The sequence below is a fragment of the Homo sapiens genome, chromosome 9, assembly GCF_000001405.40.
Source record: "Homo sapiens chromosome 9, GRCh38.p14 Primary Assembly".
Classification (NCBI taxonomy): domain Eukaryota; kingdom Metazoa; phylum Chordata; class Mammalia; order Primates; family Hominidae; genus Homo; species Homo sapiens.
Window position 1 is genome coordinate 65665832 of NC_000009.12, and position 13925 is coordinate 65679756.

A 13925-nucleotide genomic window follows, 5' to 3' on the forward strand; every position below is an offset into this window, starting at 1 on the left:
GGAGCTTTAAGATTTGACTGTCCCACTGGATTTCAGACTTTCATGGGGCCTGTATCCCCTTTGTTTTGGCCAATTTCTCCCATTTGGGATGGCTGTATTTACCAATGCTGTACCCCCATTATATCTAGGAAGTAACTAACTCGCTTTTGATTTTACAGGCCCATAGGTGGAAGGGACTTGCCTTGTCTCAGATGAGACTTTGGACTTTGGACTGTGGACTTTTGAGTTAACACTGAAATGAATTAATGCTGAAATGAATTAAGACTTTGGGAGACGGTTGAGAAGCCATGACTCATTTTAAAATGTGAGAACATGAGATTTGGGAGGGGCTGGGGTGGAATGGTATGGTTTGGCTGTGTCCCCACCCAAATCTTATCTTGGATTCCCATGTATTGTGGGAGGGACCCGGTGGGAGGTAACTGAATCATGGGGGCAGGCCTTTCTCATGCTGTTTTTGTGATAGTGAATAAGTCTCATGAGATCTGATGGTTTTGAAAAGGGGAGTTTCCCTGCACAAGCTCTCTTCTCTTGTCTGCTTCCAGGTGAGACATGCCTTTCACCTTCTGCCATGATTGTGAGGCCTCTCCAGCCATGTGGAACTGTAAGTCCAATAAACCTCTTTCTTTTGCAAATTGCCCAGCAATGTGAAAACAGACTAATACAGTGGGAGATTACTTCTCCATACCCTCTTTGTCTGCCAACCATATCACCTCTGCTGTTTCCTCTCCCCAAAAGGTAACCCATGTTAACCTCTGATTATGATCAAATAATTATATGTATTTATTTATATAAATACCATTTCTTTATATATTTTGAACATATTAATGCATACACAAGTGTGCTAAAATTTATATTTCTACTGCTGTCACCATCTGTAGCTTGTATGATTTACAGAATTTCATGAACAAAAATACATGAAGTAAAAGGAACCATTATGATGTAAAAGCATATAGATTAATAATATTCTGCTTACTAACAGTTTCTTTTTTCTTTTTTTTTTCCTTTGGAGATGGAGTTTCTCTGTTATCGCCCAGGCTGGAATGCAATGGCACGATCTTGGCTCACTGCAACCTCCATCTCCTAGGTTCAAGCGATTCTCCTGCCTCAGCCTCCCGAGTAGCTGGGATTACAGGAGTGTGCTATCACACTCGGCAGATTTTTGTATTATTAGTAGGGACACGGTTTCACCATGTCGGTCAGGCTGTTCTCAAACTCCTGACCTCAGGTGATCCACCTGTCTTGGTCTCCCAAAGTGCTGGGATTACACATGTGAGCCACCGTACCCGGCCCACCAGTGGTATTACCCAGGGATATGAATAGCTAAGCTATACTTTAGGCACAAACCAGCACTATTATCAAGATGCAATATGTGAACTCATCTTTCTTCTAGCATCAGTTCAGAATTAATTTTAATCTGTGTATTGTATACTGCTGCCAAAAACTCATTAACCACAATTAAATTATGAAAGTACATGTGTAAATTTATGGATAGCAATACACAATCCAAAATATGAGTTTGCTATAAAAATAAAGTATATGGGTAGAATCATATTAATTATAAGTAACCAGAACTGTTAATAAGAAATTAATATTAAAATATATTGAATTTGATATTTCCATAACTGAAGTAAACTAGTTTAATAAGCGAAGCTAACCAGTCTAAAATATCAAAGGAGAATAAGAATAAAGTTTATTATTAAACATACAAGCTATGGCTAATCAACATACTTTCTTATATTTCTTGATAATATGTTGAATTTACTTTCGAGCATGTTTTGAAGAGGTAGTTAGTCAATCTTTATGTCCCTTTTGAAGATATGATGAAATAGTTACATCTCTATTATGGAATAACATGAAGTGGTTTAAAAAATGAGTGATGTATGGTCTGGCATGGTGGCTCACACCTGTAATCCCAGCACTTTGGGAGGCCGAGGCAGGTGGATTATCTGATGTCAGGAGTTCAAGACCAGCCTGGCCAATGTGGTGAAACCCCATCTGTACTAAAAATACAAAAATTAGCCAGGCGTTGTGGCGGGTGCCTGTAATCCCAGCTACTTGGGAGGCTGAGGCAAGAGAATTGCCTGAACCTTGGAGGCAGAGGTTGCAGTGAGCCAAGACTGCACCATTGTACTCCAGCCTGGACACCATGAGCAAAACTTCGTCTCAAAAAAAAAAAAATGATGAATGATGTATTTCTAATTCTAGTGAGAAGGAAAGAGTATCAGTGCATATTGTCAAGTGAAGAAAGCAAGCTCCAGAACAAAGCCTATGTATGTTCCTATTTATTAAAAACAAAAGCCACATATGTATACAAATGTACTCTATCTTTCTGTTATAATTTTATGAATGCACATGTATGCAAATACATATATTCATATACATGAGACTTAGTCTAAACAGGAATATTCTTTCAGGAGGGAATCTTGCTTCTCCTACAGAAAAATACCTAACATGGCAGGGGCAAAGGTAATATTGGACCAAAAAAATCTGGACCTATGTCTATTAAATTGCTCACAGTGTTTATGTAATATCGGTGAAGGGAAGTAAAATTGAGGTTAGTGAAAGATACTCCACGTTTTATCCTAATACTTTTCTACTGTTTGAATTTTTTATAGTTATAATACATTCAGGTATAATACATAATTTATATATAAATACTATATATATATACATACACACACATATATATATATGTGTGTGTATATATATTTTAATAAGAAACAAGGTCTTTCTCTCTCACCCAGGCTGGAGTGCAGTGCAGTGATCATAGCTCACTGTAACCTCAAACTCCTAGGCTTGCGTGATCCTCCCACCTCAGCCTCCTGAGTAGCTGGGACTACTGGTGCATGCCACCATGCCCAGCTAAGTTTTAAAATTTTTGTAGAAACAGGGTCTTGCTATGTTGCCCAGGTTGACCTTGAACTCCTGGCCTCAAGAGATCCTTTCCCCTCAGCCTCCCAAAGTGCTTGTATTACAGGCATGAGCCACTGTGCACAGCCTACTTATATTATTTAAAAAACAATTAATCAAATAAGTTGGTTAGGATTAGTTTCAGTGGCATAAACAGAAACTTAAACAATGTGAAAGCTTATTTCTGTCTCCTTCTGCCAGGTGAACACACAGTGTTCATCCCCTCAGGAGGACACAGCTTTTGAGGTACCATCTTGGAAGCAGAGACCAGCCCTCACTAGACACAAACTTCCTGGCACGTTGATTTTGGACTTCATAGCCTCTAGAACTGTGAGAAATAAATTTTTATTATTTATAAATTACCCTGTATTGGATATTTTGTTATAGCAGCACAAAAGGTCTAAGACAATGACTGAAAGACGGAGCTATAGGACTCAAAAGACCCTGGTCTTGAAGCCAGAAAGACCTGGCTTTGCCAGTAGCATGGTATTTCAATTAAGTATGATTAAACACTCTTCGAGGGAATAGAAAGGGGAAGGAAGAATGGAGATGGATCATTTGTTTCATGCCTTTTACTTACGTGTAAGGAATTATGAGCAGGTGCCTATGGATTTTGGAATATGCTTCTCTAACACTATAAAAATTAGAAAGTGAAACTTATAGCCACAAATGTCCATTTAAAATTTCTAATGACAATGGAAGAAATTATTTAGACTCTCTCCTATACTATTACACCATACATCATTGCAAAACATTTTTTTTCATTTTGCCCAACCTCCACTCCTGTCATTCCACCACTCCTATAGTATCTAAAATATAGTTTCTTTTAGAGAGATTGGTGCACCACTCAACTTGTCAGCTTGAGGGCTTTGAATGGTGTTTTCTTTTTTTTTTAAATTTCATGGCAAGCTGACTTACAAGTGACTCAACTGTAAGCTAAGACTTATTAATAGCATGGTTTAACCACCAAAGATAATGAATTCAAACAATGTTACTTACAGCCTTTAATGTCACAGCCCCTAAAAACATTGAAATGTACATTTTTCACCTGCTAGTCATCTTCAGTATTCTGGAGAGGAAATATTCTTTCCTGTCCTTACAGTGGTTGTATATCTTAAAAGACGACTATATGACACTTGAATATTGATATTCAACCTTAACCAAAGCAGTCACAAGAATACAAGCCATTGGCCTCTGGCCTTTTAGATATGTTCCCAACAAGTTCATGTGTACCCAATGAAAAATGTTAAATAAACTGATAAACTTTAAACATTTAAAAATATTTTATTTATTTACTTGCCACAGCTAGATAAGAGGAACTGGGTTAATTTTGAAACTCTCAGTTTCCTTTCCTCTAAACCAGTAGCTATTGCTGGCCACTAGTATGTTGTTTCCTTTGCAGGAAGTTGCAAAAATGAGAAAGAAAAAAACGAAAAACAAAACCAAGTTGGTATTATTTTTAGCTTTCTTCTTATTTGGATATAGCTACAGTTCTTTTTCTTATGGTGATTAACATAACTATTCAAGAGAGAAGAACCAAGCAAAGGGGAGTAGTAGGGAATTAGTAGGGAATTGTGCCAAAGGACATATGGCAAGGTTATTGTCAGAAAGCTGAGCTGCTGAAATCCAGACAGTTTAAGAGCTTATCTGCTCTGCTCTGCTCCCACCTAGGAGGACTCCTACTACAATGCAAAGACTCAAGTTTCACCTTAATTAGGTCTTTCCCAGGCCAGGTATTAGTGACCTTGGGAAAAAAGTTTAAGCTTCTCAGCTTCAGATCTTCCTCTGAATATTAGCACTGTGGTAATTGGCACAGTGGTACCTAACCCTTTGAGGGTCCAGGATTGTTTTAATGGTGAGTGATTTACAAACTGAGTTTAAAAGAGCAAGGAGGATCCAATTTTGCAAAATTTCATTAACTCTGCTTAAGAAAACAGTATATTATATTAGCTTAGATCAGGAGTTGGGAATCTATAGCCTGCTACCATTTATTGTGTAGCCTGCAAATGGTTTTTACATTTTTAATACATTGGAAAAAAAATTAAAGAAGATTATTATTTCGTGATGTGAAAATTATACATGTTGAAAGGAAAACTTTAGAGTTTAATTGAGTAAAGAATGATCTGTGAATTAGGCAGCCCCCAGAACCAGAGTAGGGTTGGTTACAGCTGAGCATTTGCCTTATTTGAACCTGGTTTGAAGAGTTGCCTGCCTGTGGTTGGCTGAAGTTCAGCTGCTGTGATTGGCTGAGACTCACTACTTGTTACAAGAGTAGGTTACATATCAAGTTTTACATATCAAGTTGAAATATAGTTTTTTATGTACTGGGAAACCTTTAGGGTAAACTTAAAATATGTAAGGAGGCAGCTTTAGGCCACAATGAATTTAACAATTCCTCCTTTTGGTCAACCTGTCAATTTTGAGAGGATGATTAATTTTGAGGTTGCCCAAAACTTTAGGCATTGACATCACTTTTTATCATCATAAATAGAGTTATTTGGTCTCTAATCCCATTGGAAAATAGCAGAACACTGGATTTTGTAAGGTGGGAACAAGGAAACAGTATAGAAAAAAAAAACTGATTGGTTAACATCAGATTACTTTTTTATTTTTTTGTCACCCAGGATGGAGTGCAGTGGCACAATCTTGGCTCACTTCAACCTCACCTTTCGGGTTCAAGCAATTCTTTTGCCTCAACCTCCCGAGTAGCTGGGACTACAGGCGTGTGCCACCACACCCAGCTAATTTTTGTATTTTTAGTATAGATGGGGTTTTGCCACGTTGGCCAAGCTGATCTCAAGCTCCTGACCTCAGGTGATCCACCCGCCCTGGCTTTCCAAAGTGCTGGGATTACAGGCATGAGCCACTGTGTCTGGCTGAGATTGCTTTTTTCTAAGTAATCTGTTGTTACTTTGGGTTACTTTTCTGTAAGGGATAGAGCAGAGGGGACTTCCTTATTATACTGGAATCTTCTGTCTTCAGGAGAAGAAAAAAAAAAACTCGTCTATTTTGGGACCTGTTTTTTAAAGTTTTAGTTTGATTTTGTGGTGCTTAGCATGAGCGACTCCATTTTGGTTTGGTCTGGTCTGCTTGGGATTAGTGCAGGAGCTCAGTCCAAAACAATGGCCTCTCATAATTTTGTTTAATACATGAAATTCAAATTTCAAACTTGTAGACATTTGCTCTCTCTCTTATTATATAAGTACCTACACAATGTCCTCAAATTTGCTTTTTGATCTGTAAAGACTAAGATATTTATCATCTAGTTTTACAGAAGAGTTTGCAGATCTTCTGGTTTAAAAGAGCAGGAGATTTAGTGTCAGGCAGGTTTGGATTGAGCCCAAGGGCTGCCATTTACTGATTGTATGACTTTGAGCAAGGTATTTATCTTTTCTAAGCCTCAATTTCCTCATCTATAAAATGGGCACACAAATAGTATTTACCTTGGAGAGTTAAATGGGATAATGCATTTAATGTGCTTAACACAGTGCCTATCAGATGCTTAGGGGCTCAAAACATTACTATTGTTGTTGTTGTTGTTTTACCCTAAAGTAAATGAGACAAAATAGCAAAGCTAAATGAGGAGGAATTTTTAAGTTACATCAGAAACTGTAATAGATTCTAAAATATTATAATTAAGAAATTTCATACTTATTTAAAAAGGCATTTTCAATTTAACAATTTAACAATTTAACCTTCTTATAAGTTAAAAAAAAAAAAAAAGCCCGGCACAGTGGCTCACGCCTGTAATCCCAGCTCTTTAGGAGGCTAAGGTGGATGGATCAGGAGGTCAGGAGTTCAAGACCAGCCTGGCTAACGTGGTGAAACCTCGTCTCTACTAAAAATACAAAAATTAGCTGGGCGTGGTGGTGCATACCTGTAATCCCAGCTACTCAGGAAGCTGAGGCAGGAGAATCGCTTGAACCCAGAGGCAGAGGTTGCAGTGAGCCAAGATCGTGCCACTGCACTCCAGCCTCGGCAACAGAGTAAGACTCCATCTCAAAAAGAAAAAAGAAATAAAAATAAAAAGTCATGCCCAGCTATTTTGGGAGAACTGAAATTACAACTCTATCTGAGAAAATAAAATGACAGGACTCCACAGAATCCATAGATAAAAACTTAACTGAAGAGGAATATGGAACAGACTAAAGGAAAAATTTTATCAAGCTGTAATCTTTATACTTGTGCCTAAGGCCAGAACTTGAAACTGCTGAAGACAGTGTTTCTCTACAAATGCACACAGGCACCCCATTTTGATGCACAGATAGGTGTTTATTTCTTTTAAGAATAGCAGCTTTATTGAGATAAATTTCACATATGATACAATTCACCAATTTAAAGTGTACAAGTCAATGGTTTTCAGTATAATCAGAGTTGTACTACCATCACCATAATCAATTTTAGAACATTTTCATCACCGCCCAAAAACCACTGTAGTCTCTCCCCAGTCCTCCACTCCTGGGAACCATTAATGTACTTTCTGTCTCTATAGATTTGCCTATTTTGGTTATTTTATATAAATGGAATCATACAACATGTGGTCTTTTGTGAATAGCTTTTTTCACTTACCATAATGTTTTCAAGATTGATTCATTTTGTAGCAGGTATCAGTCCTTTTTCCTGTTTATTGCCAAATAATTTTCCATTGTACGGATAGATCATATTTTGTTTATCCATTTGTCACATTTTGGTTGTCTATCAGTTGATAGATATTTGTGGTGCATTTAATTTTTGGCCAATGTGTAAAACTTATTTTGCTCTCATTGAGGCTACATACTGTTACAACAATGCTATTTGGTCAACCTGACTGAGCTGGCCTCATAGGTTACAGGTTGCTCATTGTTAGAGATGAGACTTTAGACCAGACTGGACAACATAGTGAGACCCTGTCTCTACCAAAAAGAAAAAGAAAAATTAGCCAGATGTAATGGCATATGACTGGAGTCCCAGCTACTTGGGAGGCTGAGATGGGAGGATCACTTGAGCCCAGGAGTTTAGGACTGCAGTGAGCTGTGATCGTGCCAATGCAATCCCTGCTGGGCGACAGAGTGAGACCCTGTCTCAAAAAACAGAAAGAGGGATTTTAGTATAACATTCAGCCAGTGCCATATTGGGAACCCACAAGAATGTACTTTTAAAAATATGTCAAAGAAGGTGGTGAGGGCTGTAATAGCTGCTATTCAGGCAGTAATGCAGTGCTGAAGGGACATCAAGCAAATAGTGTGATGACTGTGGGTGCAATGTTACTCCTTCCCTTAGGTTGCCAAAAAAATCAATACTTCATAGCATTCCTGAAACGAAAAAGCTTATGAACCATTGTGTTTAGGGTGTAAGCTATCTATTTTGGGCTACCCATCACAGCTTCTCTCCTTTGGTAGAATAAAGTGAACTGAACCATCACGCCTAAGGTATTTGCCTTATTTCTTCCTCAGCTGGTTCATGGTTACATTGTCAAAGCTGGCAAAGCATTCAAGACCTGATTTCTCAGACCGAGTGTATGTGTGAATATAATATACTCATTTGCACAAATATAAACCCTCTGTCTTAACTGTGTTCTGCAAAAGGCGTGATAAATACTTTCAAGTTATATGTACTTATCAGTAGAACTAATGGAATACACACAGTATATTTTATGGGGAATTTCAGAGAAGGAAGGAAAAGTCAACCTTTTATCTGGCATCAGGATAGTAGTAAAACATTCTACTTGTGCATCAGATAGATTTTTATGACCTAACCTGGACAAGTAACTTAACTCTTGGTGCCTCATGTTTGAAAGAGGGATAACACTCTACAGGGTCATTCTAAGAATTAAATATTGCCAAAACACATGAAAAGATTCTCAACCTTGTTAGTAATCAAGGAAATGCAAATGAAGATCACAATGAAGTCTTCTTTTGTACTCAATTGATTGGTGAAAAATGCATGCCTGATAATATTGACATACAGACCAATGAGATCTCTTATAATTTGCTGGGAAAATGTATCAATTTGTACAAACATTTTGAAAAATAATTGTGCATTTTCTTGTGAAGTAAAACATTTGAATAATCTAGGACCCAGCAATTCAACTCTTACACAGACACTCAAGAGGAAGTTGCACACACATATGTCAGGAAAAATGTTCATAGCAGCCCTGTTCATAAGAGCAAAACCTGGAACAATTGAGAGGAAATGAATAAATTGCCGTGTAGCCACACAATAGAATACAAGACAGCAGTGATGCTGAAAAATATAGCAAGCCTCAGGAGTTTATATATTATATGGATAATTTTATGAAGCTCAAAAACACCCAAAATTAAACAACATATTCTCTAAGTACATACGTGGGATATGTGATAAAACTAAAAAGAAAACAGGGAATGATCAGCAATCCAGAACCAATTCATGACTGTTGTTACTATCTTATGGGGCAGGCTGTGGATTGGAAGCGGGGGCGGTGCACATAGGTACGTGTAACTTACTGGTAATGCTTTTACGTCAGGAATGAGGTCAAAGGAGTTCACTATAAATTTATATTAGAAAGAAGGGCTATCTATGGATTAGTGATGAGAGTGTCATGCACCAGCAAATATGATTAATGAACTTAGATTACCTGAGGTCCAAATAAATAATGAGGAAAAAGTAAATAAAAGTGATGCATGAATACTAAAAATTTGGAATTACATATATAATATGTAATAATAAAAAAAGAAAAAATTGTCACTGGTTATCCTTCAGGTATAAAAATTACAATTAAAATTGTAATGTTATAACCTTCCATTCTTTCCCCTATGAATTAAAACTTTTTTTTTTAACGAGACTAAAAAATCAAGTTGATAAAATCTATGCCCTGTGGGAACTGGTTAGGTCAGGTTACCCACTCCAGATTTCCAGCAGGCTAGCCTCAGCTCTACCTACAGCCAGTAGCTTATTAAGGCTCTAGGCGCCAGTGACACCTTCAGACAGGTGGTTAGTGCGCCCTAAGGGCTCTCCGCAGCGTCGCTCAGGTTCACAGAACACGCCCAGGGGCGTGTCCAGCTGTCGTCGGGGAGAGCCCACCTCCCCGGGGGGTGTGGCTAAGGGACGAGGCAGTTCTCGTCCAGAGCCCAGGTAATCCGGGCGGGATCAGCTAGCGTCGCGATGTGATGACGTCAGGCCCCGGCCAGGCCGGGAGTGGCGTGCTGGGCGTGCGCGGCTGCGGTACGGCGTGTTGGTCCCAGCGGTTCAGCTGAGGTAGGGACGTGCCGTAGGCCGGAATGTTACCGGCTGTTGGATCTGTGGATGAGGAAGAGGATCCTGCGGAGGAGGATTGTCCTGAATTGGTTCCCATTGAGACGACGCAAAGCGAGGAGGAGGAAAAGTCTGGCCTCGGCGCCAAGATCCCAGTCACAATTATCACCGGGTATTTAGGTAACTAACCATCCCAGTCACAAAATGCCGTGAACTCTGGTGTCATGGGATTTTGCGGGCTGCCGGTGCCTCTTCTCCTGAGGCATTGGGGCCTCATGATCAAGAGCAAATGTCTTTGAGGTAGGGGCTGGGTCACTTGCTTCTCGTATGGGTTACCTCTCATCTTGGGAGTTAATGATGCCCGGTCCCCTCTGCGTTAGATTCCCATTTCTCAAGTGAGATGGAAAGTTAGCCTTTGAAACAAGGCTTTGAAGCTAAGACACGCCCCCCTAATTGTCTCTGTGACCTCTTACCAAGTTATCTTACCTTCCTGACGCTCATCTACCTCACCTGAAAATGGAAAAATACCTGTCACCTGTGAAATAGGGCCGGAACAACCTACCTATTGCCATTAAAGGATGTCCCGTCTGTAAAATGTCCGACACGTGGGGCTTTCGTCAGCAGATTCCCCTTCCCCAGGAGCCAAAGTCCTCCAGCCAGTTGGCAGGAAGTGCTCCTATCTTAAACACTTTTTTTTTGAGGTCTGTTTGTAAACCACTGCGTAGGAAGTAAGAATAAAATCTCTGTCCTCCAAGACTATTTCTCAAACTAAGAACGTTTAGAGTGTACAGGGATACTCGAAACCACAAGTTTGTGAACTTGGTAGTTTCGTGAAGGGCGGTTTATGCACTTACACTAGAAGTTTCTTACTGGAAAAGTTTGAGAAATATATTTTTAAACCTTACAGTTAAATAGAAGGGCTAGAACAAATATATGACTGTATTAGAAGTTTGGAAAAAGTTAAGAAATGTAAATAAAATAATACTGTTTCCGGGAAATAATATTCCTAGTTGTGTGCTAGAGACAGGTACAGACTTGGGCCACTTCGTGACCTTTTATGTAAAAATAAGAAATAACTGCTTTTTTTTTTAAAAAACTTTGTAGACTGTAAGTTTATTCTCGTTTTTTGCTCGGAAGTAATTTTATAAAGGAATTTATTTTTGGCGTTTCCCCACAGTTATTCAAAGGCTGCTCTACTGAGAAGATGAACAAATTTCTTGTCCAAAACAATGTATTTCAAACGTGCCCCTCGGGCCTTTCCCGTGTTGCTCACTGGTAGGTCAGTAGATCATTGGAGAAAATGATCTGAAGCTCAGGAGTGAGAATTAATACCAGCAACCTTGTTGCTGAATCTAGGGATAGTTTCACTCCTATCCCTGACCATTTTCCCTTTTTGAAACACTGTTCCTTTGGCTTCTATTACATTTTTCTTCTGATTTTTCCACCTGCTTCTCTGGCTTCTTTTTAAGGCTCCCTCCTCCTTCCCCCTTTGTCCATCTTTAGCTACACACCTGTGTAATTTCTATTTTGATGTCCTACAACTTAAAACTTAACATGTCTGAAACTTCGTCTGTTACCATTCCCCCAAATCCTGCTTCTGTGATCCCAACCATTTGGAATACTCCAAAAGCCTCCTGACTAATCTGGAGTCTTGCTGCCCTTTAATTTATTCGTTGCATGTTAGCCTTAATGATCTTTATAAATGTCAATCCGACTGCGTCACACCTTTCAGTGGCGTCCCTATGGGTTAAAATTCAAATTCCTTAACATGAATTACAAGGACCTGTAGGATCTGGATCTTGCCAACCTTTCCAGCCTGCCAAATTGGCCCCGCACAATAAACTAAGGTTACTTCAAAGGTGCCAAGTGTTTTAGCCCCTTGGAATAGGTACTTTTTTACTGTGACTCCTCTGGCTAGATGTCCCTCTTAGGTTCTCCATAGCATTTTGTGCATCTCCTATTGAATATGTCACCCTGAGACATAATTGCCTCCTTATTCACTGAATTCCCCTCCATTCCCCCCTTCCCTTAATATTTCTAAGCTCTATGAAGGCAGAGACTATCTTGTTCACTTTTTCACCAAGGCCCAGCATAAATCTGTAACGTATTAGAAACCTTTGAATGAATGAACTATGTCTTAAAGTGTTTTTTTTTTTTTTTTCATAATATGGTTAAAAAGCCCTAGTAAATCTTCTCTTAGAAGATTTCTTACATTCACCCTTTCCTTTCAGTTTTCACATCACTGCCCTGTGAAACACTCATGTTCAGGGCCTCTGTCTCAGGCTTGGACTGGTTTTAAGATCTTCCTCATTGCCCTAAGTCTCTCTCTTCCATACTATACTTCATATTTTTGTGATGTTGAGCTTCCTAAAGTACTCTAAATATAAGCCTTCATCTCTTAAAAAGCTTTGAAAGGAATATGACCTAAAAGATATTAATACCCTAATACTCCGTAAAATCTTCCTAGTTGTAGGAAGATCTAGTTATATACTAGAAAACTTTATTTCAGAAGACATGTATAGCCTACATGTAAAAGTTTTTAGCAGCACTGTAATAGTAAAACACTGGAAACAAACCAAATGTCCAACAAAAAAAAAAAAGATAAAGAAATGATATAGTCATACAGTTGAACTACAATACTATGCAGTTAGGATTTTCTTTTTTTCCTCTATGAATTTTAGTGTGTACGGTTCACAAGACTTTTTTTTCTACTGGAGATTGACATATTGGGTTTCATATGCCACCTGCTGGATAAAGTTGGTATAGCTTTATGAATTTATCTTAACTGAACATTCTGTTCATTGTTGACACTACCTGGTTCTATTCCCCATTTCATAAAAACTTTTATAGATTGTTTAAAGCATACTATAAGTAGCCATATAGTCAGCCTGAAGTTGCGTCTCGTTAATGTTGAAATAAAAGGTCACTGTAAATAAAAGATTGTGTGTCAATTTTAGGGAAGGTTAGGCTAGGTTGAAGAAACTGTTTCAACTTGTAGGAGTGTTTGTAAATATTTATAAAATTTTATGTCTACATAAAGTATTTTGCAACAGGTTTCAAAGGATGCTTTAATCTTATCCTCTAGGATATTCTATACTAAAATAATATATGAAAAATAGCATGCAAATTCTCAAAAACGTTAGGATTCTTTATATGTTTTTTGTATCTTTAAAATTATTTTGAATTTTTTTATTTACAAAAAATATGTTTTATAGGTGCTGGGAAGACAACACTTCTGAACTATATTTTGACAGAGCAACATAGTAAAAGAGTAGCGGTCATTTTAAATGAATCTGGGGAAGGTAAGTAAAGTTCAATAAATGTCATGTTGCAAGATTTTGTGTGACTGTTTATTCCTCTGGTGAATTGATATTCCATATTTAAAAATGAAAATGCAAGGTATTGTATTGATGTGGATAGCTTTAGAAAAATTAGATTAATTTCTGTTAAGATTTATATGGGTTGAGATACTGAAATTAGTTTTAATAAAATTTTATTTTGTATAACTTTGGAATTCTTATTAACAGAATTAAACTACATTTTTACATGAAATAAATGACTCCAGAAGTAAAAATCTGGACATATGAAAAAACGTTTATTTTTTATTTTATTTTATTTTTTTTGAGATGGAGTCTCTCTCTGTCGCCAGGCTGGAGTGCAGTGGTGCAATCTCAGCTCACTGCCACCTCTGTCTCCCGGGTTAAAGTGATTCTCCTGCCTCAGCCTCTCGAGTAGCTGGGACTACAGGCATGCGCCACCATGCCCAGATAATTTTTGTATTTTTAGTAGAGACAGGGTTTCACCAT

General features: G+C 38.2%; 1 protein-coding gene across 24 annotated transcripts in view, besides 4 other annotated features; it reads left to right on the forward strand.

Moving 5' to 3' along the window:
- The window catches only part of ZNG1E (Zn regulated GTPase metalloprotein activator 1E), an 81063-nt gene that overhangs the window by 12853 nt on the left and 54285 nt on the right, over nucleotides 1-13925 (forward strand). For 20 of the 24 annotated variants that reach the window (XR_007061263.1, XR_428503.3, XR_007061264.1 and 17 more), the window contains exons 1-2: nucleotides 10097-10299; nucleotides 13335-13421. Coding sequence is in view for 13 of the 24 variants with exons in the window: in NM_001330668.2 (NP_001317597.1) it covers nucleotides 10146-10299; nucleotides 13335-13421 (241 nt within the window). In the remaining 11 variants the exon portion in view is untranslated. Of the gene's footprint in view, nucleotides 1-158; nucleotides 602-1281; nucleotides 2271-3111; nucleotides 3241-10096; nucleotides 10300-11296; nucleotides 11395-13334; nucleotides 13422-13925 lie in introns of those variants that run through there. The other 4 variants (XM_047422963.1, XM_017014456.2, XM_024447453.2 and 1 more) reach the window with 3 other exon arrangements.
- Nucleotides 9671-9965: a silencer, noted in NCBI's record as "tiled region #13873; K562 Repressive DNase unmatched - State 1:Tss". NCBI's record gives its function as "represses a minimal TATA promoter and a strong SV40 promoter by Sharpr-MPRA in K562 cells {active_cell/tissue: K562}" and the evidence as "EXISTENCE:reporter gene assay evidence [ECO:0000049][PMID:27701403]".
- Nucleotides 9671-10380: a biological region, named in NCBI's record as "Sharpr-MPRA regulatory region 13873".
- Nucleotides 9791-10380: an enhancer, noted in NCBI's record as "H3K27ac hESC enhancer chr9:70489834-70490423 (GRCh37/hg19 assembly coordinates)". NCBI's record gives its function as "activates a minimal SCP1, AML or CMV promoter by ChIP-STARR-seq in primed H9 embryonic stem cells {active_cell/tissue: H9 hESC(primed)}" and the evidence as "EXISTENCE:reporter gene assay evidence [ECO:0000049][PMID:30033119]".
- Nucleotides 10381-10971: an enhancer, noted in NCBI's record as "H3K27ac hESC enhancer chr9:70489243-70489833 (GRCh37/hg19 assembly coordinates)". NCBI's record gives its function as "activates a minimal SCP1, AML or CMV promoter by ChIP-STARR-seq in primed H9 embryonic stem cells {active_cell/tissue: H9 hESC(primed)}" and the evidence as "EXISTENCE:reporter gene assay evidence [ECO:0000049][PMID:30033119]".